We start from the raw sequence: 23,310 nt of genomic DNA, 5'->3' as shown, positions 1-23,310 counted from the left end.
GGCGGCTCTGGTGTCCTGCGGTTTGCGTGGGCTCTCTCTGCACTTACAGTCACAAAAAGACAGTATCTCAGGCAGGAATTCTCGCAGGGTGCATGCTTCTCTTTTGACAGTTTAATGTCACGCATGGGTTCCTTTGTAAACATCAGATCAATAGCAGAGTTCCAAATTAAAACATTAGGATAAGAAGCCCATGTTGATTCATCCGTCCCTGGAATGGCCTAGAAGACGGGGCACCTGGTGTTCGGGGATGCGTCTGTCTCAGGCCGGTCTCCATGGGTCAGGTAGCCTAGGGTGGGAGGAGGAGGGCGGCGGGCAGCCTAGCGTGGGAGGAGGAGGGCGGCGGGCAGCCCCACAGCCGGGATCCAGGAGAAAGGAAGGGCCACTCACTTTCTCTTCTTCACAAAGTCCTGGGAACGCAGGGAGGGGAGACGGGGTCTCGCTCTAAAAGGCAGCTTTGTAGCCAAACTGCTCCCTCCAGGCAGGAAGAGAATCCCCGCTCAGAAGAAAGGTGGGCCACCCCTGATGACGGCAGGTGGCCCCAAGTGTTTGGATGCGGTGGGCCCCACTGGTTTGGGCCTAACCTCAAGCGGCTGCTAATGGTTCCATGATACTTTTCCCGCTAACACTTCACAGAGATGTCTGACTGATGTCCACTGCTCAGCCGCACCCCCTGAGCTGGTGAGCATTCAGGCAGAGCACCCACCTCTACTTTTCTCACCCCTAAAATCAGAGACTGGTTCTAAGCTGGTGCAGCCACCGCCCCTGCGTGCCGGATGCAGGACTTTCCCTGCCAACACTGGACAGTCCCAGCAAAGCAGACGGTGGGTCGCTCTGTATCTCTGAAGAACAGCTGGGCCTGCGTGTGTCATTCTCAGGCATCTGGCCCAGGCCTTCTCCTCCAGGAAGGTGGGGAGGGGCTGCTCGGCTCCGGGCACTGCCAGGGGCCGTGGGCCCCACATCCTTTCCAGGCTGTTCCGCAGCATCTGCCTTCATACTCACAGCCACCGCGGCGTGCGTCCCAGGGGTTCTCAGAATAGAATTCTGTGCCTCTCTCGCCTCTGGAAGTGACCGTGCTCTGTAGGAAAATATCACAGCACGCCGGCCTCAAAAGGCCATGACGTGGCTCCAAACGCTGTAAGTATGTCAGTTGCTTAGAACAATCAGAAAGGGGCAGAACAAGCTGAGGTATAGAGTCGGGGGTCAGGGAACAGACAGCATCTCTTGTCTTGCAGAGAGACTGCTAGCAATTTGCAAGTTTACGTGAAAAGCTTTGTGATTTTCCAACACCCTGAGTAGTTCTAGCCAAAATGCGTGATTGGCCTCACACTAGACGCTTGCTGTAATTGTGTCTCTGTATTAAATTGACCGTCCTTTGGAGCTTCAGAATGGACCAGGAGGAAAAGGTAAATACCAAGCTCGCTACAACCTCAGAGGCATCAACGCCCTCCTGCTACAGACGCATCTGTTCTCACCTGGCTCCTGCCAGCTGCCCTGGGAGAGGCCACAAAATGCCCTCCATGGACAGAAGACCTGAGAACCTTCGGGGCTCCTGCTGTCACTCACTGTGTTGAAGAACCGCCCGGTCAGCACGCTGGGCCCTATACACATACACACACGGCTCTGCGGAGGACGAGGAAGGGCCGTCAGATGAGACTTCACCGTGAAAAATGTGCAGAGACACAACAATCTCGCTGAATGAAAACTACAGACTCTAATTTATAAAAACTGTCTGTTTCAAAAGCCCCAAATGTTTACATTCTCCGATTCATCATTCCTTCTTCTAATTTATTTTAGGAAATAATGCAAAGTACTCACAAAAAAAATTTATACAGAAAGATGTTCATTGCAGAATTCATTATAATAAAGAAAACCTGAGTACCCAGCGTCAGCGTGGTGATAACATGCATACAAGGGAATATTGTGCAGCTTCAGTTAGTTCTTATTACATTTCATAGGCATCTTAAGTGCTTTGTGAACATTGGTGTATAGATTTTTTTGTTTGGTGTAGATGGCAATAATTAGATGGGTGCAAGTAATAAAAACAGGACGTAATTTTAAAAAGATTGAGTGACAGAAAAAAATGAAACAATGTTTAAAAAACTTTTTGGTTATTATATTATCACTACAAGGCCCTGTCTCCTTGCTCCCTTCTTTGGGGACGGTTCTGGCCTTGCCTGGCCCGTGGGTGGAAATTGTGGTGCTCCAAGTGCCTTCAGCTGCTGCTGGGGTCCCAGGAGCCCAGCCTAGGTGTTCTTCCGTCCTCACCACCCCATGGCCTCCATGGAGCCCCACAGCAGCCTCAGGAAGGAGGGCAGTATCGTCAGAACAGAGTCCTCATGGACCCCCAAGAGACCCTTGTACAGAATGCCCCATCCAACCCAGGTCCAGCTTCACTCAGCTCCTAAACAGGAGCACGGCTGCAGGCCGGCTCCACGCACCCCGTCCCCAGGGAAGCCACAGCCTCCATCCCACACATCCCAGGCAGGCATCTGTAACTGAAGGCAGCATGCTCGGGTAAGCAGCGAGGCACACACCAGCTGGGCGGGGAGGGGTGGCCCTGAGTGGTCGTCTTGCTCAGTGCTGGAGGGGCTCCGAGCCGAGGGTCCAAGGGTCCTGGAGCTGCCATGGCAGATCCCCACAGCCTGGGCAGCTCGAAACAACAGGGGCTCATTCTCTCCCTGCTCAGCAGCGAGGGGTCTGAAATCAAGGAGTCCACGGGCCGTGCTCCCTCCAGAGGCTCCAGGGGAGGACCCTCCCACCTGTGCCAGCTTCTGTGGCTCCAGGCGTCCCTGGGCCGCGGCTGCATTGCTGCGCCTCTGCCTCGGTCTCCAGGTGGCCTCCTACTCTGTCTGCGTCTAACCTCCCTCTGCCTCTGTGTAACCTGCCTCTGCCTCTTGCCATGCGTTTAGGGCCAACGGGTTAATCCAGAATGACCTCCTTATCTCAAGATCTTTAACTTAATCACGGCCACAAAGACCTGCCTCCTACCTGAAGAGAGGTCCTGTGCACGGTTCCAGGGTCAGGAGGTGAACACCCGGTGGCCCAGCCTCAGCCACCCCAGTGAGAATGTGCGAGGTTTCAGAATGGCCGTGCTGCCCTGTTAGGAGCTATACACGCAAAAAGGCAACTCCGTCAGCGTCAGGGGTGCTGGATGCGTGCGGGGATCAGATGGCGTCGGATTTCCCAGGAAGCTGGGGAGCAAGGGTCCTGCACCAAGGGAGGGAGGAGGCCGGAGACCAGCCCAGGCCCAGTCCAGGAGGAGCCTGGCCAGGAGTCCCACCAAAGCCACTGGAGCCTCCAGTGACCCAGCCCTGGAGGGTCAGCGCTGTCCCTCAAATGGATTCCACTTCACACACAGGTCTCCCTGTCTGTGGGGGCTGCAGGGCCGGTGCCTGGGGAGCCCAGACTGCTGGAAACCTTCGGGGTGGCAGGCTCCAGATGGGACTTCCTGGCTTGTGTTTATGTGGAGCCCAGGCTGTGGGCGCCACAGTCAGGCACAGGTTAGGGGTGAGTTGTGGGTGATTTAAGAACTAGAAGCACAAGTAATGGCCTGACCCCCATGTCCCGGCTGTGCTGTGCGGTGGGAAAGACACGGGCTCGGGCGGCTGCTGGGGGTGGCCTGGCCTGCACCTGCTGGGGGTGGCCTGGCCTGCACCTGCTGGGTCCACCCCTGGCCACTAGGCTCACCCAAGGACAGTTGGTGACTGCCTGCCTCACTCCTACCGACCCTCAGGGGCCTAGGGGTCCCGTGACGGGGGGGAGGCTAGGAACCATGCTGGAGGACATGCCTGTGCCAGGGCCACTAGGATGTCTACAGCAGGAGCCGGTGCTAGCAAACCCCACACCCTGAGCCCCAGAGCCAGGCTCCTCAGCCCAGGAAAGGGATCACAGGCAGGAAAACCACACGGAAAAGGCTGTCCCATGCAGTCATGGCTCCCCCACCACTGCCCACACATGGAAGGCAGCCGCGGCTGGGAGAAGCCATCTTCACAGACATGCCATCCTTGATGCTCTCACACATGCGCACAGACGCGCCATCCTCTCCCACAACCCCGCCACCCCGGGCAGGCCAGGAAGTCCCATCTGGGGCCTCCCACCCCGAGGGTTGCCGTCAGTCTGTGTGCCCAGGCATCAGGGCCTGCCGCCCCCACAGACAGCGAGACCTGTGTGCGAAGTGGAATCTGTCCTAGGGACAGTGCTGACCCTCCAAGGCTGGGTCACTGGAGGCTGCCCGGGTCCAGTGGCTTTGGTGGGACTCCTGGCCAGGCTCCTCCTGGCCTGGGCTGGTCTCTGGCCTCCTGCCTCCCTTGGTGGAGCACCCTCGCTCCCCAGCACCTCCCAGGTTCACACAGCTCCTCCCTGGGGCCACACACTGACGCAGGGGCAGGAGGTGGGCCATCCTCTCCATGGACTGAAGACCTTGTCCGAAGGGAAAGAAAGGCCGGCCCAAGGCTTGGCTGGAAGAGTGGGTCTTGGTAGCAAAGGCGGCTCGTGGGGGCAGCCCACGCGAATGCTTCCCCGGCGCCCTGAGCCCCTGACCGCGGCTGAGCCTGCTGTACTCTGGCCCCTCTCATGGAAAGATGACCTGGGTCTACCATGCTCAGTATCACCCAAAAATTCCTACAGAAGTCTCTTGGGACAAGAAAAGGCCTTCTTCCCTCCCTCCTCCTTTCCTCTTCCTTTCTTTCATCAGGGAACAGCTTCCGGCCACCTGCACTGTTTGGGCGCCATCATAAGGAGCCGTGACGGCCTTCACAGAGCTCCGGGGCTCACGGGTGTGGCTGACCTGCCACAAATGGGGCGACAGAGGAGAGGGAGGGTCAGGCACCGATGGCTCAGGAGGGAAGAGATCCCTTCTGTATGGGGAGATGGGGGCTTCCTGGAGGGAGCCGGGGCGAGGGGCTCACCAGGGTGAGACATCCAAGGGACCTGGGGGACCGGCCATGGGACACTGTGGTCCCACGTGGCTCCTGGATGCGCTGTGTGTTTGCTGAGCTGGAGGGGACAGGGAGCCCACGTGTGGGAGAGGGAGAGGCCATGCACGCCCTGAGTCGGGCTTTACAAAAACCTTCTGGCGGCAGCAGGAGAGGAGCCACGCAGAGGCAGAGCCAGGGAGAGGCGGTGGGGTAGTGAGGGGGATGTCGGGGTGCACGGGTTAGGAGACCCCCAAGCCCTGGGACCTGCATGCTGATGGTCAAGGTTGCAGAGGCGGCTGCTGTGGTGACCACAGGGCAGGGAGAGGCAGTGGGGTAGTGAGGGAATGTCGGGGTGCACAGCACCAGACCCTCCTAGATCTTCCGATTCAGTCCTGGGGGGACCCTACCCCAGATCTTCCAATTCAGTCCTGGAGGGACCCTACCCCAGATCTTCCGATTCAGTCCTGGTTCGGCCTGAGAATTTGCATTTCTAACATGTCCAGGGACCACAGTTTGAAAACCTCCATGGCTGACATGTAATGGGATGACATGGTCCAATAAATGAAGGAAAAGTAACAGGTGGCAACCTCAGGCAGCTTCATCCCAACCAGTAAGAAAGTAAATCCTTTTGTAAACTAAGAGGAAGTATTAATATGGGCGTTTGAACAAACATTTAAGTGTTAGGACAAAGAATTAAAAACTAGCACAGGCACCCCTGAAGCATGATAGGATGGCAACAGAAGGGCTGATTTAGTTTCCAAGAAATAACTGACAGGCAGTGTTGTGTGTGTGTCTACTGCTTAGGAACCCAAAACAAACCTTCAGACCATTTTCATGAGTACTGAGACCAAGAAAACCACTGGGCAGTGGGTGGTCTGGAAATGTAAATGTTTATAGTACTCCACTAATGAGTCATGGAACGATGTTTCCTATTGAAAATGTTTTTGTAAATGTGGGTTTCAAGGTTTCAAAGTGAACCCATATGTTTTAGGAGAAAGGACACACCAAAGAAGTAAAATAATTGGGTCAATATAAAAAGAAAGTAGAATACTGCCCAGAGAGAAGATGTGGATAATTCCTAACACGGATCAAAGGCACCAAAAAGGTGAGCTGTGAGTAAGATATTCAGACCTGCACCGTCCCCTGCAGTAGACACAGTGGCTGCTGTGAGTAAGATATTCAGACCTGCACCATCCCCTGCAGTAGACACAGACAACATCTTGGTAGGCAACTGGGTGAATATTCAGAGACAACCCTAGGAACTAGGAGGATGAAAAAAGCATTCATGGAATGAGGCACTGAAGAAACTGAAAAGCTGGAATAACCCCATGAAATAACGAGAATAATTGTAGTATTCTGAACCGGGGCACAGGACACAGGACTGGAGTGGAAGGCCGCATGAGACCACCCGTGCGGGAAAGACCCAGGGATCACACTGGCCCAAAGGTGGGCACTTCCCAACTCCGGGATTTGTGCTACAGGCACTCCAGGCTCCACCACAGAACTGTGTCCAGCACGAAGGCAGTGCTGTCTTGAGGGAGGCAGGGCTGCACCACCACCGGGGCGGGAAGGGGCGCGGCAGGGAGGCGCCCAGTGTTTCCAGCTGCACGGGTCGGGGACCGCGCTGATGCAGAGCGCGGGGCCGCAGGTTAAATCTAAAGGAGGGAAGCTTTTGGGGGCGGAACAGACAACGGAGAATGCTGCACACTGCCCTTCCCACGCGAATTGTGCTTTGCCTTTTTTTTTTTTTTTTTTTTTTTGAGACGGAGTTTTGCTCTTGTTGCCCGGGACTGGAGTGCAATGGCCTGATCTCGGCTCACTGCAACCTCTCCCTCCCGGGTTCAAGCAATTCTCCTGCCTCAGGGTCCCAAGTAGCTGGGATTACAGGCGTGCGCCACCACGCCCGGCTAATTTTGTATTTTTAGTAGATACTGGGTTTCTCCATATTGGCCAGGTTGGTCTTGAACTCCCGACTTCAGGTGATCCACCGGCCTCGGCCTCCCAAAGTGCTGGGATTACACGCGTCAGCCACCGCACCCGGCCTGCTTTTTTTTTTTTTTTTTTTTTTTTTTTCATTGTCTCGCTATCCACCGGGCTGGAGGGCAGTGATCTCGACTCCCTGCGGCCTCGACCTCCCGGGCTCAGGCCATCCTCCCGCCTCAGCCCACGGAGTAGATGGGCCCACAGGAGCCCACCACGCCGGACTACTTTTTGTAATTTTTGTAGGGATGGGGTCTAGCCACGCTGCCCAAGCTGGTCCACGCTGCCCAGGCTGGTCCACGCTGCCCAGGCTGGTCCGCACTGCTGGGCTCAAGAGCTCCGGCCGCCTCCGCTTCCCAAAGCGCAGGGATCACAAGTGTGAGCTACCGCGCCCCGCCCAGAGTTTCCGACTGTTAGCGTGAATCACATTCACCTCAAAACTTCTTTTCATACAAGAACTAAAAGGCAAACTAAGTCCCTGCTCCATCACTGCCTGTCCCGGGTCGCAGCACGGGACATTGTCTCCAAGCGCCTTCCCGGCCCGCGCGCAGGCGGCCTGTGCATCCCGGACAACGCGCATTTCCTGCGCCCCCGGAAGTGGCGGTAACGCCCGGCCCTGCCCCCAGCAGAGGCGGAAGCGGTGTCGCTCTGAGGGGTCGCCAGTCGCCGCAGGCGCTTCAGCCCAGCGGCGGGCCTTGGCCCTTGGCTGCCTACTCCTACCGCCCCAGCCCCGGGCGGCCCTGGGCCTGCTGCGGGCGCGGCGCTGCCCGACCAGAGCTTCCTGTGGAACGTCTTCCAGAGGTGCGGGCTGGCACCGCCCCGGCATCTCCCGCCTCCCGCGCAGCCGCCCCGGACCCCTGTCCCGACCCCCGCGGCCAACCCCGTTCCCTGCCGGTTGCCCCGCGGCCTCCCCCGTCACCTGCCGTGTCCCCAGCGGCCTCCCCCGTCCCCTGCCCCGACCGCCGCCGCCTCCCCCGACCCCTGCCCCAGCCGACGCGGCCGCCCCCGTCCCCTGGCGGGTCCCCCGCGGTCTCCCCCGTCCGCTGCCCGGTCTCCTGGGGCCGCCCCTGCCTCCTGCCCGGTCCCTGTCCTGTGCGTCGGCCCTTCCCAAGATGCAGAGTGCGCCACTGCAGACCCGAGGTCGCGGCCACCGGCTCCTGGGCTAGGCCCTTTTTCTCGCCTCAAGAGCCGCCAGGTGGAGGGTCTCCAGGGTGCTTGTTTGGGGAAAGCGGAAACAGACTGTCTGGGCCGCTGTTAAAATGTCAGCAGCCAAGGAAGAAGCAGCGACCTGGCGTCTGCTCGGGCCAGGTGACCTTTATGGTGGCGCCTTCTGTCCCTGGTCGCTTTTCCACCGAATGTCCGAAACTGTAGTGACTGATGGCCAGGGAATGGCTTAGTTATCTGAGGGAATCTTTTCTTGTCTGTGAAAAAGGGAAACTGGTGCAAATGGGAATTCAGACAGGCCAGGAGAGGAAGGAAGGGAAGGATTGAGGTGAAGATGATTGTCCTCTTAGGGGAAGACCACACTGGACGTCGGCTCCTGGGGCACTTCCTTGATTCCGCTGTACTCCTCAGCGGGACGGGAGAGGCGGAGGTTCCAGGAGGGAGCCTTCCAGAGTCGGTGCAGGGTTGACAGGAGACGTTTGTTTTGCTTTTCCTGAACTTTCGATCGCCAGCTTATTTGGTCTTCTTGATGTTATAGGGTCGATAAAGACAGGAGTGGAGTGATATCAGACACCGAGCTTCAGCAAGCTCTCTCCAACGGTGAGTGGGCCAGTGGGAACTGGGTCTCCGGACCAAGAAGCCGTGAGCCTGCCCTGTTCACAGTGGATAACTTTCTGAAGTTGTTTTTCCAAGGACAAAGGAATCATTAGGACAAATTGTTAATACTGCTTCATGGTGGAGATGCTTCTGGTTTATTTTGTGGCTACCGCTGTTACTGCTTGGAGTGCCTCACCGAGCCAGGTAACAACTGCGTGCGTGAGCACAGGGAAAGGCTTCTTGAGAAATGAAAACTAGATTGTAGGTTTAGGAGGGGAATAGGAAGCTTAGCTCTGTACAGCCGAAAGCCTTTTGGTAAGTTGGAGGTCCTTGAATTTCCTGGGTGACTGCATCTTGGTGACTTCTCTGAATAGACCTTCGAGGGCACTGGGGGGTGATTGTTGGAGGGCTTGGGGAGCTCAGGCAGCCCTTGTGTGGGAACGTGGCTGTTACAGGAACTGCAGAAACTGGGACTGGGTTCCTGGGGAAAGGATTGGGGGTGTTGGAGGCGCTGGCAGGGGAGTTATGGGGAGGTGTTCTTATCAGTGTGCGAATACTGGGCGTTCAGGCAGCGGGAAATCCGGGTCCTTGCGTGTTGTGAGCTCCCTGGAGTTACGTTCTTGCCAGTTTCAGCTCAATTGATCCCCCTCCCCTGAGCTATCATTGGATACATTTTACTTCATTGAACACCTGACTACTGCTTTAGATTCTGTGTATAGTTTGCCTTTCCAGATCCGTGCCATTTAAGCTAGAAAAGGGGTCAGTTTTGAGATGTTGTGAAAATGTTGAAAGGCTCCTCGTTATTAGTGGGAAGTATCTGATGTTGCCGGAGACTGAACTGGGACGCGGGGAGCACTACGGCTGCTAGACACTGCCTCACTGCGCTGTGGGTGGGGGGGGTGCTGGATTCAGCCTTACTGCCTGATTTGTGAGGATTTGTGTTTTCAGAGTAACATGTTTACCTTATATTATGACATCCGTTCCTAATATGTGGCGTGTGGGCCACAGATGCTGGTGTATTATTTCACATGCATTTATATAGATTGTTTTCAGGGAATTCAGAAATGCTGTTATCTCTACACTAGTGATTGTGCTTTCTTGATTTTTCTCTTTTCATTATTCTTAAATCCTCCTTTTTTTATTTGCATCTCAGTTCATTTATACTCGGGAAGTGCAAGACATGGCGACTAGAAAGAGATGTCAAGAGAACCCGGAATCCAGTAGGCTACAATTTGGCAAATCTTAGCTTAAAACTTCCTAAATGTTGACCACAGTGGATGCAAATGGCTCTGTGCATCGTCTGTTCAGTATGGTCAGATGACCACCCAGGTTCAAGTGGTTTGTCAGCAAGGTGATATGAGCCACACAGAGTGCCCTCCTCAGAGGCCATGTCTCAGAGACGTTTATTTTGAGTGGTTTTCCAGCGAGTGATGCAAGATTTATGATCCATTTTAACAGCCTGCTTTTTATGCATTTGCTCAAATTTTTAGATTTTAGGTTTAGTTTTAGGTTTTCTGTTAAACTTGCTCAACTAGGAGTGGTGGTCAAATACTGGACCGCATTAGTATGGTAGCCTGCCCACCTTGGCAGGCTCCACTGGAGTGCTTTGGGGCCGGCCTGGATTCCAGTCCTGGCTCTACCAGTTTTGTGTCCTTGCTGTTACTGGGAGGGAGTATTGAGGAAATGCATGCGAGGTGCTTCCGTGATTCCTGGCACGGAACAAGTGGTCAGTAATTGTCAGCTGTGAGTATTAGTAGTAGCTAATACACTGCTACTATTCTTGGCTAACAAGCCAGCTCAAAGCTTTGATGGTTTTCCATTACCTGATGATGGTGATGATGGTTTCCACTTACTGAACACTCACATGCTGGGCTAGGCACTTAACCCAAATCCAAGGTCAGCATTATTGTTTGGGGTTTGGGGAGACACCTCCTGCTCTGACTTGTGTGTTTGGGTTCCTGTATTTTCACCAGAGGGCATTAGTCCTGCCCCAGTTCAGCTGGTCCTCAAAGCATATATAGCTCTTTAACCATCAGCAAGTGTCAGTCAGAACATAATCTTGATTTCAGCTGCTACTAAATATCTACCAGGAGACTGCTTGAGAGAGAGAATTGCCTGACAGGTGCTGAGTCCACCATTCCTGAGATACTTTGAAATCAGTGTCTGGCTTAACCCAAGCTGTGTGTCGGGACCCTCTCACTGTGGTCCCAATGGAGTCGCTTTTGTTAGGCGCCCCCCTTTACCTTGGGCTCTGAGCTTCCTCTGCCTTTCATCTCTGCAGGATGAAGCTCCACCCGCCCTTCAGGATGCAAAGCCCTCCTCTATAAAGTGCATGCGGGGCCAGATGCAGTGGCTCACATCTGACCTCCCAACACTTTGGGAGGCCGAGGCAGGGGGATCGCTTGAGCCCAGGAGTTTGAGACCAGCCTGGACAACATTGTGAGACCCTGTTCCTTGAATTGCCCTGGGAGATTTCCTCAGCTTGTACTGGAGGCGTGTGGCCCCATGAAGCCCGTAGTCACCGTTCACCCTGAGAGACGCTGGCTTTGGGGCTCACACGCCTGCTGTGGGGCAGCCCCAGGAGATGGCCACCCTGTTTCTCCTGGAGCTGGAGCTGCGTGTGTTCTCAGAAACTGTGGTGGCTGTTCTCTTTTGTTTGCATCTTATAAACCTTTACCTGATTACATTTTCCTCTTCAATTTAGCTGGTAGAAAACTTAAAGTCAGATTGGTGGCTCGCCAGTAATGAGAGTTTAGAGTAGAGGTAAACTTTATGACATAGTCTTAGACTCTTCACTTTCTCCTCAGCCAACATGATTCACATTTACTTTATTTTGCTGTACTGTGAGTGTCTTTGTGTTCCCTGAATTCTTTCTGGAATAAGGCAGGTTGTTAGTAAGCACAGGTTTCTGGTCCATCTCATAGCCTCAGGCAGTGGGCGGTGCTGTCCGTGCTCCCTTTCTGGGTTACCTGCGGTAGCTCTGAAGTTGCAGGGCTGCGATTTGAAGCCTGATTTAGTACACCGTGTTTCTGTTGTGTTCTGTGGTGGTTTGCTCCTCACATGTGAGCATTCACCGTGGCCCTGTGTTTTTCCACCACACCTCTGCCTGGTGGCATCCTACTGGATGTCTCAGCCGAGCCACTCTGTTCTGAAGATGCCCTTGTCCTCCACCCCTTTGCTTTGGGCTCTGAGCTTCTTCTGCCTTTCATCTCTGTAGGATGAAGCCCCACCCGCCCTTCAGGATGCCAGCCTTGGCAACATCGTGAGACCCTGTTTCTACAAAAACTAAACAAGTGTAGTGGTGCACGCCTGTATTCCCAGCTACTTGGGAGGCTGAGATGGGAAGATCACTTGAGCCTGGGAGGTTGAGGCTGCATTGAGCTGAGATCAAGCCACGGCACTCCAGCCTGGGAGACAGAGCGAAACCCCATCTCAAAAAAACAAAGAAAGTGGATGCGTGCTGCTCCTGCCATTGGATCATCGCAGCATTTTTCTTTTCTCTGATATGCGCCTTTTTCCTCATCGTGGGGGCTCATGTTTTCGTAATTCCCTCTCGCTACTAGATTGTGAGCTGTGTGAAGGAAGGTTCATAGTTGAGTTGTATGTACAGGCACACAAAATTTGTCCTTGGATAGACACATATCAATCCACTTCCTTCTCCTCTCTGAATTTCTTTATTTAAAAAAAAAAGTAGAGATGGAGTCTCACTGTCTTGCCCAGGCTGGTGTCAAACTCCTAGGCTCAAGTGATCCTCCCACCTCTACTAATATGAATTATTAGGCTATGCTAATATGAATTTGTATACTAATATGATTGAAATTAGTTTGACTTCTATAATAATTGTTCTCCCAGATTGGGCTTCTGTTTTGATAGTAGAACTAAATTATTAGGCTATTTCAAGAAATTAATATATTACTGGTAGAAAAACTGAAGCTACAAAATGGCCTGGTTTCTCACTTCAGTTAAATTTGTGCTTCTGAGTGCTTGTATTCTAGGTGAAACCGCACTGAGAAGGTATTTGTGGCCTATACGCTGATTCATTGATTAGACTTCTTTGCACAGGAGAGCTGCTAAAAATTACTGCGGTGAACAGGTACGAAGAAAAAGACTGTTCTCTGCCCTTCTTTTTGCAATAAAATGTTACAAACTATCTTGAGTTTGATCCCTTTTCGGGTGTTTGGGTTTTTTTTAACATTCACATATTTCTTGGAATTATAAGAAATTAACTTTGTGCTTCTGAAGTGGGTTTGCCTTAATATAACACTGATGTATTTGTAAGGGGCATTTTTAAAGCTGTACTTTAAAAAATAATAATTCTTACATTCATTTGAAGGTTTTTTGTTTGTTTGTTTGTTTGTTTGTTTTTGAGCTGAAGGCTTGCTCTGTCACCCAGGCTGGAGTGCAATGGCATTGATCTTGGCTCACTACAACCTCTGCATCTGGAGATCAAGCGATTCTCCTGCCTCAGCCTCCTGAGTAGCTGAGGCTACAGGCACCTGCCACCATGCCCAGCTAATTTTTTGTATTTTTAATAGAGATGGGGTTTCACCGTGTTAGCCAGGATGGTCTCAATCTCCTGACCTCATGATCCGCCCACCTCGGCCTCCCAAAGTGCTGGGATTACAGGCGTGAGCCAGGGGGCCAACATGGTGAAACCCTATCTCTACTAAAAATACAAAATTAGCCGGGAATGGTGGTGTGCGCCTATAATCCCAGCTACTCGGGAGGCTGAGGCGTGAGAATCACTTGAACCTGGGAGGCAGAGGTTGCAGTGAGCTGCGATCGCGCCACTGCACTCCAGCCTGGGGGACAGTGAGACTCCATCTCAAAAAAAAAAAAAAAACACAAAAAAAGAATGGACTAACCCTTGTTTAGGTGTTACAAAATCCAGGCCAGACCAGTCTAAACTTTAATCTCATACCCAGTTCCTAGATGAGTCCCTTCTCCAGCTCAGGTTCGGCCTAAGCCTCAGGGTTCCTTACTTGGTGGGCACCACCTGCTCCCTTCCCCGCCTTTGTTCCTCTTTTTCCTCTGCTGGCTCCTCCGGGGTTGGGTGTGTTCAGAGGCAGAGACAGGCTAAAGGTCTTTGGCTTTTAGGTTCTGTTGATGGGTGAGTTCCAGATACTAGCTTTCTCTTGTAGGATATTTCATTTATTTATCTATTAAAAATATTTATTTAGAACACACCATTCATGTGCCAGACCCTGTTCCAGGCACTGGGGATAGGGTGATAAATGAGATCAACAAAAATACCTGCCCACATTAAGCTCCTGTTCTAGGGAAGACAAAAAAGAAAGAAAATACACGTGTCCTTAGTACATTAGAAGGTTCCAAGTACTGTAGAGAAAAATAAAGTAGGTTGGACTCGGTGGCTCATGCCTGTAATCCCAGCACTTTGGGAGGCTGAGGTGGGAGGATTACTTGAGCTCAGGAATTTGAGACCAGCCTGGGCAACATGGCAGATCCTGTCTCTACAAAAATAAATAAATAAATAAATAAATAAATAAATAAATAAATAAATAAATAAAAATAAAATAAAAATTAGCTGGGTATGGTGGCATGCACCTGTAGTCCCAGCCACTGGGGAGGCTGAGGAGGGAGAATTGCTTCAGCCCAGGGGGTGAAGGCTGCAGTAAGCCGAGATCGTGCCATTGCACTCCAGCCTGGGTGACACAGCCAGACCCTGTCTCAAAAAAAACGAAAGAAAGAAAATGAAAAAAAGAAAGCAGAGATGGGGCAAGCAGGGGAAGAGGACTGGTGCTGGGGTCACGGGGGAGGGGCTGGGGATGCACGGGAGGGGCTGGGGATGCAAGTTTCCTGAGTTCTCACAGTTCTCTGCCCCTCTCCTGTCTCATGGCACAAGGGCCCCCTGGGGCTTGCGGTGGTTTTGCACCAAGCTAATATCTTGTTCTTCCCAACAGATGGAGGCCCATTGAGGCTTCTCTGTCCTCCACGGGGAACAGCATTGGCCTAAACCTGCAGACACCATTGCAAAGGGAATTCAGGCAAACCGGCTGGTGAAGAATGATTCCAGCGTGGGGACAGAGGCTGACATTTCTTGCGTGGGTGATTTAATGTTGGGCCTCAATTTTTCACTCCCCCCATAAGAGTATGACATAGCCACAACCTTGCCAGGGCCCGAGGGAGGGTGGATGGACTTATCCATCCCATAGGTGTGGCTCGTGGCTGGGTGACTTGCTTCTGCCAATGAGATTTTCACAGACACGGCAGAAGCAGAAGCCTGGAATGTGTGGCGCTGCCAGGCCTGCCCTCTAAGGCTCTTGATTTTCCCCACGAGATGTGCGTGCCCCAGGGAACGGCGGCTCTGGCTGTGGGATGAGAGGCATGTGGAGCAGGCATGGTTCCCATCCTCAGCCTGGAGTCAAGGCCAGACTAGATCAGCCTAAACCCAGCCACGCCACGGGTACAGCAGTGAAGAGCGAATGCCAACTGTCCATGACAGTGACTTTCAAAGGGGCGTGTCATGTGCCTCATCCCAGCAACAGGGAAGGCATTTCTCTATCAGTCAGTTGGTAAATGATTATTGACAATGTGTGGGAAGGTGGAGTGATTTGAGTAGATTTGGCTTCTATTCTCATGGAGCTTCCTTTCTAGAGGGGAAGGCAGATGATGGATGAATAAATATAAATGATTCTAATAGGTTGGTGCAGCAGTCATTAAAAGTAATGGCAAAAAAAAAAAAACGGGGAGGAGCCGGTGCTGCAGTTCATTAATAGTAATGGCAAAAACCACGATGACTTGTGCACCAACCTAACCCAGTAATCACGGGTGTGCAAATGTGGCGATGGGCAAGTTCCGAGTGCTAGGAGAGCATCTAGCTTCCCGGAGTCAGGAGACGGGGGTTGGCAACCTAACCAAGGTTAAGTCCAAGGGAGGGGGGTGGGCAGGGAGCGATATTTCAGTGGAGACTCCAAGGACGAATGGTATTTAGAGAGTAAACCCCGATAGAGAGGGTTTGTGTCTGGCACAGAGAAGAGCCTGTGCAAAAGCCAGCGGGGCGAGAGGACACCATGTGTTCATCCACCTGAGGGGCGACCAGCAGGCTGGAGCTCAGCGGGTTGAGAGGAGGATGCAGAGCCCGGGAAAGGCACCCTAGGCAGAGGGCACAGCAGGGCAAAGGCCTGGAGTCAGGCCTGAGCCTGTGTGGTTTGAGGAACGGACAGAGGCCTGCCCGGCAGGAAGGGAACAGCACAGGGGAGAGACCTTAGACCAGAGCAGAGGGCAGGGCTGTGCTGGGCACTGTGGGCTGTGGATGGTGCTGGCATTTAAGAGGGGAGACCATAGACCAGGGCAGAGGGCAGGGCCGTGCTGGGCACTTTGGGCTGTGGATGGGAGCTGGCATTTATGCTCAGGTGATGGGAATATGTTAAAAGATTTTAAGGAGGGGAGTAACAGTTGGGATTAATGTGTATTCTGGGAATCTCAACAAAGTAAATTCATAGTTCGAATTTTCATAAGATTTCTGCACAGGCAGAGAGAAATAAGATCGTGTCTACAGCTGTGTGATGATTTTATTTAAAAATATTACTAAGATTTTAAACGTGATTTCAAATGGTGTGTTTCTATTTCACATTGGACATAAGTAGATTGCAAGGCTAATGGAAAGTAGAAAAGTTAACTCACGAACATAAAAGAGATATCGATTTGAAAACAAAACATTTATTCATTTACTTCCGCTGCAGATTTCTTGACTGCTGAATTTCATGAGAAGGGATTGTTCTGTGAGGGTCGTGGAGCTGGAGATCCAGGTGGGAGAGGTGTTCTAGCTTGGGGAGGAGCTGATGTTCCACCTTGAGGGCCCTGCAGCTGCAGACCCGGAGAGGAGCTGATGTTCTAGATTGAGGGTCGTGCAGCTGGAGACCTGGAGAGGAGCTGATGTTCTAGTTTGAGGGTCTTGCAGCTGCAGACCTGGAGAGGACCTGATGTTCTAGTTTGAGGGTCTTGCAGCTGCAGACCTGGAGAGGACCTGATGTTCTAGTTTGAGGGTCTTGCAGCTGCAGACCTGAAGAGGAGCTGATGTTCTACATTGAGGGTCGTGCAGCTGCAGACCTGGAGAGGAGCTGATGTTCTACATTGAGGGGCATGCAGCTGCAGACTCGGGGAGGAGATGTTGTAGTTTGAGGGTCATGCAGTTGAGGACTCGGGGAGGAGCTGATGTTGTTCGCCTTGAGGGTCTTTCAGCTGGAGACTCAGGGAGGAGCTGATAATCTTGATTGAGGGTCATGGAGCTGGAGACCCGGACAGGAGCTGATATTCTACTTAATGGATCTTCCAGCTGCAGATCCAGGGAGGAGCTGATGTTCTAGTTTTAGGTTCTTGCAGCTGCAGACCCGGAGACGAGCTGATGTTCTAGATTGAGGGTCGTGCAGCTGAAGACTCGGGGAGGAGCTGATGTTGTATTTGAGGGTCATGCAGCTGAGGACTCGGGGAGGAGCTGATGTTGTTCGCATTGAGGGTCTTTCAGCTGGAGACTCAGGGAGGAGCTGATAATCTTGATTGAGGGTCATGGAGCTGGAGACCTGGACAGGAGCCGATGTTCTAGTTAGTGGATCTTCCAGCTGCAGACCCACGGAGGAGCTGATCTTCTACGGTTAGGTTCTTATAGCTGCAGACCCGGAGAGGAGCTGATGTTCTAGATTGATGGTCGTGCAGCTGCAGACTCGGGGAGGAGGAGATGTTGTAGTTTGAGGGTCGTGCAGTTGAGGACTCGGGGAGGAGGTGATGTTGTTCACGTTGAGGGTCTTTCAGCTGGAGACTCAGGGAAGAGCTGGTAATCTTGATCGAGGGTCACAGAGCTGCAGACCCGGCAGGAGCTGATGTTCTAGTTAGTGGATCTTCCAGCTGCAGACCCAGGGAGGAGCTGATGTTCTAGTTTGAGGGTCGTGCAGGTTCTAGTTTGAGGGTCGTGCAGCTGGAGACCTGGAGAGGAGCTGATATTCTCGTTTGAGGGTCATGCAGCTGAAGACCCGGGGAGGAGCTGAGGTTCTAGATTGAGGGCCATGCAGCTGCAGACCCGGAGAGGAGCTGATATTCTAGTTTGAGGGTCTTGCAGCTGCAGTTCCGGAGAGGAGCTGATGTTCTAGTTTGAGGGTCGTGCAGCTGCAGACCCAGAGAGGAGCTGATGTTCTAGTTTGAGGGACGTGCAGCTGCAGACCTGGATAGGAGCTGATGTTCTAGATTGAGGGTCAAGCAGCTGAAGACTCGAGGAGGAGCTGAGGTTCTAATTTGGGGGTCGTGCAGCTGAAGATCCAGGGAGGAGCTGAGGTTCTAGATTGAGGGTAGTGCAGCTGCAGACCCGGAGTGGAGCTGATATTCTAGTTTGAGGGTCTTGCAGCTGCAGTTCCGGAGAGGAGCTGATGTTTCTAGTTTGAGGGTCGTGCAGCTGCAGACTCGGAGAGGAGCTGATGTTCTGATTTGAGAATCTTGCAGCTGCAGACCTGGACAGGAGCTGATGTTCTAGATTGAGGGTCGTGCAGCTGAAGACTTGGGGAGGAGCTGAGGTTCTAATTTTGGGGTCATGCAGCTGAAGACCCGGGGAGGAGCTGAGGTTCTAGATTGAGGGTCTTGCAGCTGCAGCTCCAGAGAGGAGCTGATGTTCTAGTTTGAGGGTCATGCAGCTGCAGACTCGGAGAGGAGCTAATGTTCTGATTTGAGAATCTTGCAGCTGCAGACCCGGAGAGGAGCTGATGTTCTAGTTTGAGGGTCGTGCAGCTGGAGACCTGGAGAGGAGCTGATGTTCTAGTTTGAGGGACGTGCAGCTGCAGACCTGGATAGGAGCTGATGTTCTAGGTTGAGGGCCATGCAGCTGAAGACTCGGGGAGGAGCTGAGGTTCTAATTTGGGGGTCATGCAGCTGAAGACCTGGGGAGAAGCTGAGGTTCTAGATTGAGGGTCGTGCAGCTGCAGACCCGGAGAGGAGCTGATGTTCTAGTTTGAGGGTCTTGCAGCTGCAGTTCCAGAGAGGAGCTGATGTTCTAGTTTGAGGGTCATGCAGCTGCAGACTCGGAGAGGAGCTGATGTTCTGATTTGAGAATCTTGCAGCTGCAGACCCGGAGAGGAGCTGATGTTCTAGTTTGAGGGACGTGCAGTTGCAGACCTGGATAGGAGCTGATGTTCTAGATTGAGGGTCATGCAGCTGAAGACTCGGGGAGGAGCTGAGGTTCTAATTTGGGGGTCATGCAGCTGAAGACCCGGGGAGGAGCTGAGGTTCTAGATTGAGGGTCTTGCAGCTGCAGGCCCGGAGTGGAGCTGATATTCTAGTTTGAGGGTCTTGCAGCTGCAGTTCCTGAGAGGAGCTGATGTTCTAGTTTGAGGGTCGTGCAGCTGCAGACTCGGAGAGGAGCTGATGTTCTGATTTGAGAATCTTGCAGCTGCAGACCTGGATAGGAGCTGATGTTCTAGATTGAGGATCGTGCAGCTGAAGTCTCGGGGAGGAGCTGAGGTTCTAATTTTGGAGTCATGCAGCTGAAGACCCGGGGAGGAGCTGATGTTCTAGTTTGAGGGTCATGCTGCTGGAGACCTGGAGAGGAGCTGATGTTCTAGTTTGAGGGTCATGCAGCTGGAGACCTGGAGAGGAGCTGATGTTCTAGTTTGAGGGACATGCAGCTGCAGACCTGGATAGGAGCTGATGTTCTAGATTGAGGGTCATGCAGCTGAAGACCCAGGGAGGAGCTGAGGTTCTAGATTGAGGGTCATGCAGCTGAAGACCCAGGGAGGAGCTGAGGTTCTAGATTGAGGGTCTTGCAGCTGAAGACTCGGGGAGGAGCTTAGGTTCTAGTTTGATGGTCTTGCAGCTGAAAACCCGGGGAGGAGCTGAGGTTCTAGATTGAGGGTCTTGCAGCTGTGGACCTGTAGAGGAGGTGATGTTCTAGTGTGAGGGTCTTGCAACTGCAGACCTGGAGAGGAGCTGATGTTCTCGTTTGAGTATTTTGCAGCTGCAGACCTGGAGAGGAGCTGATGTTCTAGTTTGAGGGTCTTGCAGCTGCTGACCTGGAGAGGATCTGATGTTCTAGTTTGAGGGTCTTGCAGCTGAAGACTTGGGGAGGAGGTGATGTTGTTCGCCTTGAGGGTCTTTCAGTTGGAGACTCAGGGAGGAGCTGATGTTCTAGATTTAGGGTCATGGAACTGGAGACCTGGAGAGAAGGTCATGTTCTAGTTTGAGGGTCTTGCAGCTGCAGACCTGGAGAGGAGCTGATTTTCTAGATTGAGGGTCATGCAGCTGAAGACTCGGGTAGGAGCTGCGGTTCTAGGTTGAGGGTCGTGCAGCAGAAGACTCGGGGAGGAGCTGAATTTCTAGATTGAGAGCCTTACAGCTGCAGACCCGGAGAGGAGCTGATGTTATAGTTTGAGGGCCCTACAGTTGCAGACCCGGAGAGGATCCGATGTTCGAGATTGAGGGTCGTGCAGCTGAAGACTCCGGGAGGAGCTGAGGTTGTAATTTGAGGGTCTTGCAGCTGCAAACTCGGGGAGAAGCTGATGTTCTAGTTTGAGGGCCCTACAGTTGGAGATCTGTACAGGAACTGATGATCTAGTTTGAGGGTCGTGCAGCTGAAGACTCGGGGAGGAGCTCATATTCTAGTTTGAGGGCCCTGCAGCTGGAGATGCAGACAGGAGCTGATGTTGTAATTTGAGGTTGTGCAGCTGAAGATTCAGGGAGGAGCTGCTCATGTATTTTTAGGGTCATGGAGCTGGAAACCCGGAGAGGAGCTGATGTTATAGATTGAGGGTCGTGCAGCTGAAGACTCTGGGAGGAGGTGACGTTCTAATTTGAGGTCCCTACAGCTGGACACCCAGAGAGGAGCTTATGTTCTAGATTGAGGATCATGCTGCAGAAGACTCGGGGAAGAGCTGAGGTTGTAGTTTGAGGGTCGTGCAGCTGGAGAACCAGACAGGAGCGGATGTTCTAGATTGAACATCGTGCAGCTGAAGACTCGGGGAGGAGCTGATGATGTTCACTTTGATGGTCTTTCAGCTGGAGACTCAGGGAGGAGCTGATGTTCTAGATTGAGGGTCATGGAGGTGAAAACCCGGAGAGGAGCTGACGTTGTAGTTTGAGGGTCTTGCAGCTGCAGACCCGGAGAGGAGCTGATGTTCTAGATTGAGCGTCGTGCAGCTGAAGACTTGTGGAGGAGCTGAAGTTGTTTGCGTTGTGGGTCTTTCAGTTGGAGACTCGGAGGAGCTGATGTTCTAGATTTAGGGTCACGGAACTGGAGACCTGGAGGGAAGCTGATGTTGTAGTTTGAGGGTCTTGCAGCTGCAGACCCAGAGAGAAGCTGATGTAGTTTCAGGGTCTTGCAGCTGCAGACCCAGAGAGGAACTGATGTTCTAGATTGAGGGTCGCACAGCTGAAGACTTGGGGAGAAGCTGATGTTCTAACTTGAGGGTTGCGCAGCTGAGGACTCGGGGAGGAGCTGATGTTGACGGCTGTGCAGCTGGAGATCCGGTGGGGAGCTGATGTTCCAGTTTGAGGGCCGTGCACCTGGAGACCCAGGGGGGAACATCAAACTGGAACATCTGCTCCCCGCAGTGCCTCCAGCTGCATGGCTCCCAGACTGGAACATCGGTTCCCACCCGGGTCTCCAGCTGCACGGCCCTCAAACTGCAACATCGGCTACCACTGAGTCTCCAGCTGCATGGCCCTCAAACTGGAACATCAGCTCCCCACCGGGTCTCCAGCTTCACAGCCCTCAAACTGGAACTTCAGCTCCCCACCGGGTATCCAGCTGCACAGCCCTCAGACTGGAACATCAGCTCCCCACCGGGTCTTCAGCTGCACGGCCCTCAAACTGGAACAATTTGAACCTGGCGGGGAGCTGATGTTCCAATTTGAGGGCCATGCAGCTGCAGACCCGGCAGGGAGCTGATGTTCCAGTTGTAGGGCTGTGCAGCTGGAGACCCGGGGGGGAAGCTGATGTTCCAGTTGTAGGGCCATGCTGCTGGAGACCCAGGGGTGGAGCTGATGTTCCAGTTTGAGGGCCGTGCAGTTGATGACCCGGCAGGGAGCTGATGTTCAAGTTTGAGGTCTGTGCAGCTGGAGACCCGCGGGGGAGCTGATGTTCCAGTTTGATGGCCGTGCAGCTGGAGACTCTGCTGGGAGCTGATGTTGCAATTTGAGGGCCATGCAGCTGGAGACCCGGCGGGAAGCTGATGTTCCAGTTTGAGGGCCGTGCAGCTGGTGACCTGGCGGGGAGCTGATGTTCCAGTTTGAGGGCCGTGCACCTGGAGACCCGGCGGGGAGCTGATGTTCCAGTTTGAGGGCCGTGCAGCTGGAGACCCAGCGGGGAGCTGATGTTCCAGTTTGAGGGCCGTGCATCTGGAGACCTGGTGGGGAGCTGATGTTCCAGTTTGAGGGCCGTGCAGCTGGATACCCGGGGTGGAGCTGATGTTCCAGTTTGAGGGCCGTGCATCTGGAGGACCGGTGGGGAGCCAGTGTTGCCGGTTGAGGGCCGTGGAGCTGGAGACCCGGGTGGGTGGGAGCTGATGTTCCAGGTTGAGGGCCATGCTGCTGGAGACCTAGCAGGGAGCTGATGTTGCAGTTTGAGGTGGTGCAGCTGGAGACCCAGTAGGGGAACTGATGTTGCAATTTGAGGGCCGTGCAGCTGGAGACCCTGTGGGGAGCTGATGTTCCTGTTTGAGGGCCTAGGAGCTGATGTTCCAGTTTAAGGCCATGCAGCTGGAGACCCGGGGGGGAGCCAGTGTTCCAGTTTGAGGGCTGTGCATCTGGAGACCCGGTGGAGATCTGATGTTGCAGGTTGAGGGCCGTGGAGCTGGAGACCTGGGCGGGGAGCTGATGTTCCAGTTTGAGGGCCATGCAGCTGGATACCTGGCTGGGAGCTGATGTTGCAGTTTGAGGGCTGTGCAGCTGGAGACCTGACGGGAGCTGATGTTCCAGTTTGCAGGCCGTGCATCTGGAGACACGACGGGGAGTTGATGTTCCAGTTTGAGGGCTGTGCATCTGGAGACCCGGTGGGGAGCTGATGTTGCAGGTTGAGGGCCGTGGAGCTGGAGACCTGGGTGGGGAGTTGATGTTCCAGTTTGAGGGCCGTGCATCTGGAGACCCGGTGGGGAGCTGATGTTGCAGGTTGAGGGCCGTGGAGCTGGAGACCTGGGTGGGGAGCTGATGTTCCAGTTCGAGGGCCATGAAGCTGGACACCCGGGGGGAAACTGATGTTGCAGTTTGAGGGCCATGCAGCTGGATACCTGGCTGGGAGCTGATGTTCCAGTTTGAGGGCCGTGCATCTGGAGACCTGGCGGGGAGCTGATGTTCCAGTTTGAGGGCCGTGCAGCTGGAGACCCGGCTGGGAGCTGATGTTTGAGGGCCGTGCATCTGGAGAACCGGTGGGGAGCCAGTGTTGCCGGTTGAGGGTCGTGGAGCTGGAGACCCGGGTGGGTAGGAGCTAATGTTCCAGGTTGAGGTCCGTGCTGCTGGAGACCCAGCAGGGAGCTGATGTTGCAGTTTGAGGTGGTGCAGCTGGAGACCCAGGGGGGAACTGATGTTGCAATTTGAGGGCCGTGCAGCTGGAGACCCTGTGGGGAGCTGATGTTCCTGTTTGAGGGCCTAGGAGCTGATGTTCCAGTTTAAGGCCATGCAGCTGGAGACCCGGTGGGGAGCCAGTGTTCCAGTTTGAGGGCTG

At 53.6% G+C, this 23,310-nt stretch overlaps 2 pseudogenes across 1 annotated transcript in view, besides 1 other annotated feature; one reads left to right on the top strand and one right to left on the bottom strand.

The window, feature by feature from the left end:
- The window catches only part of PDCD6P1 (PDCD6 pseudogene 1), a 36,449-nt pseudogene continuing 20,638 nt past the window's right edge, over positions 7,500-23,310 (top strand). Inside the window, exons 1-2 of the transcript NR_003713.1 lie at positions 7,500-7,697; positions 8,599-8,660. The product of NR_003713.1 is annotated as a PDCD6 pseudogene 1 (transcript). The remainder of the gene's footprint in view (positions 7,698-8,598; positions 8,661-23,310) is intronic.
- Positions 7,581-7,800: a silencer, noted in NCBI's record as "silent region_15886". NCBI's record gives its function as "represses an Ori minimal core promoter by ATAC-STARR-seq in GM12878 lymphoblastoid cells {active_cell/tissue: GM12878}" and the evidence as "EXISTENCE:reporter gene assay evidence [ECO:0000049][PMID:35858748]".
- Positions 21,067-22,027, bottom strand: LOC112267946 (uncharacterized; annotated as a pseudogene).

The sequence above is a fragment of the Homo sapiens genome, chromosome 5, assembly GCF_000001405.40.
Source record: "Homo sapiens chromosome 5, GRCh38.p14 Primary Assembly".
Taxonomy (NCBI): Eukaryota; Metazoa; Chordata; class Mammalia; order Primates; family Hominidae; genus Homo; species Homo sapiens.
The sequence above is the reverse complement of the archived record's forward strand: the minus strand, read 5'-3'. Positions and strand labels throughout refer to the sequence as shown.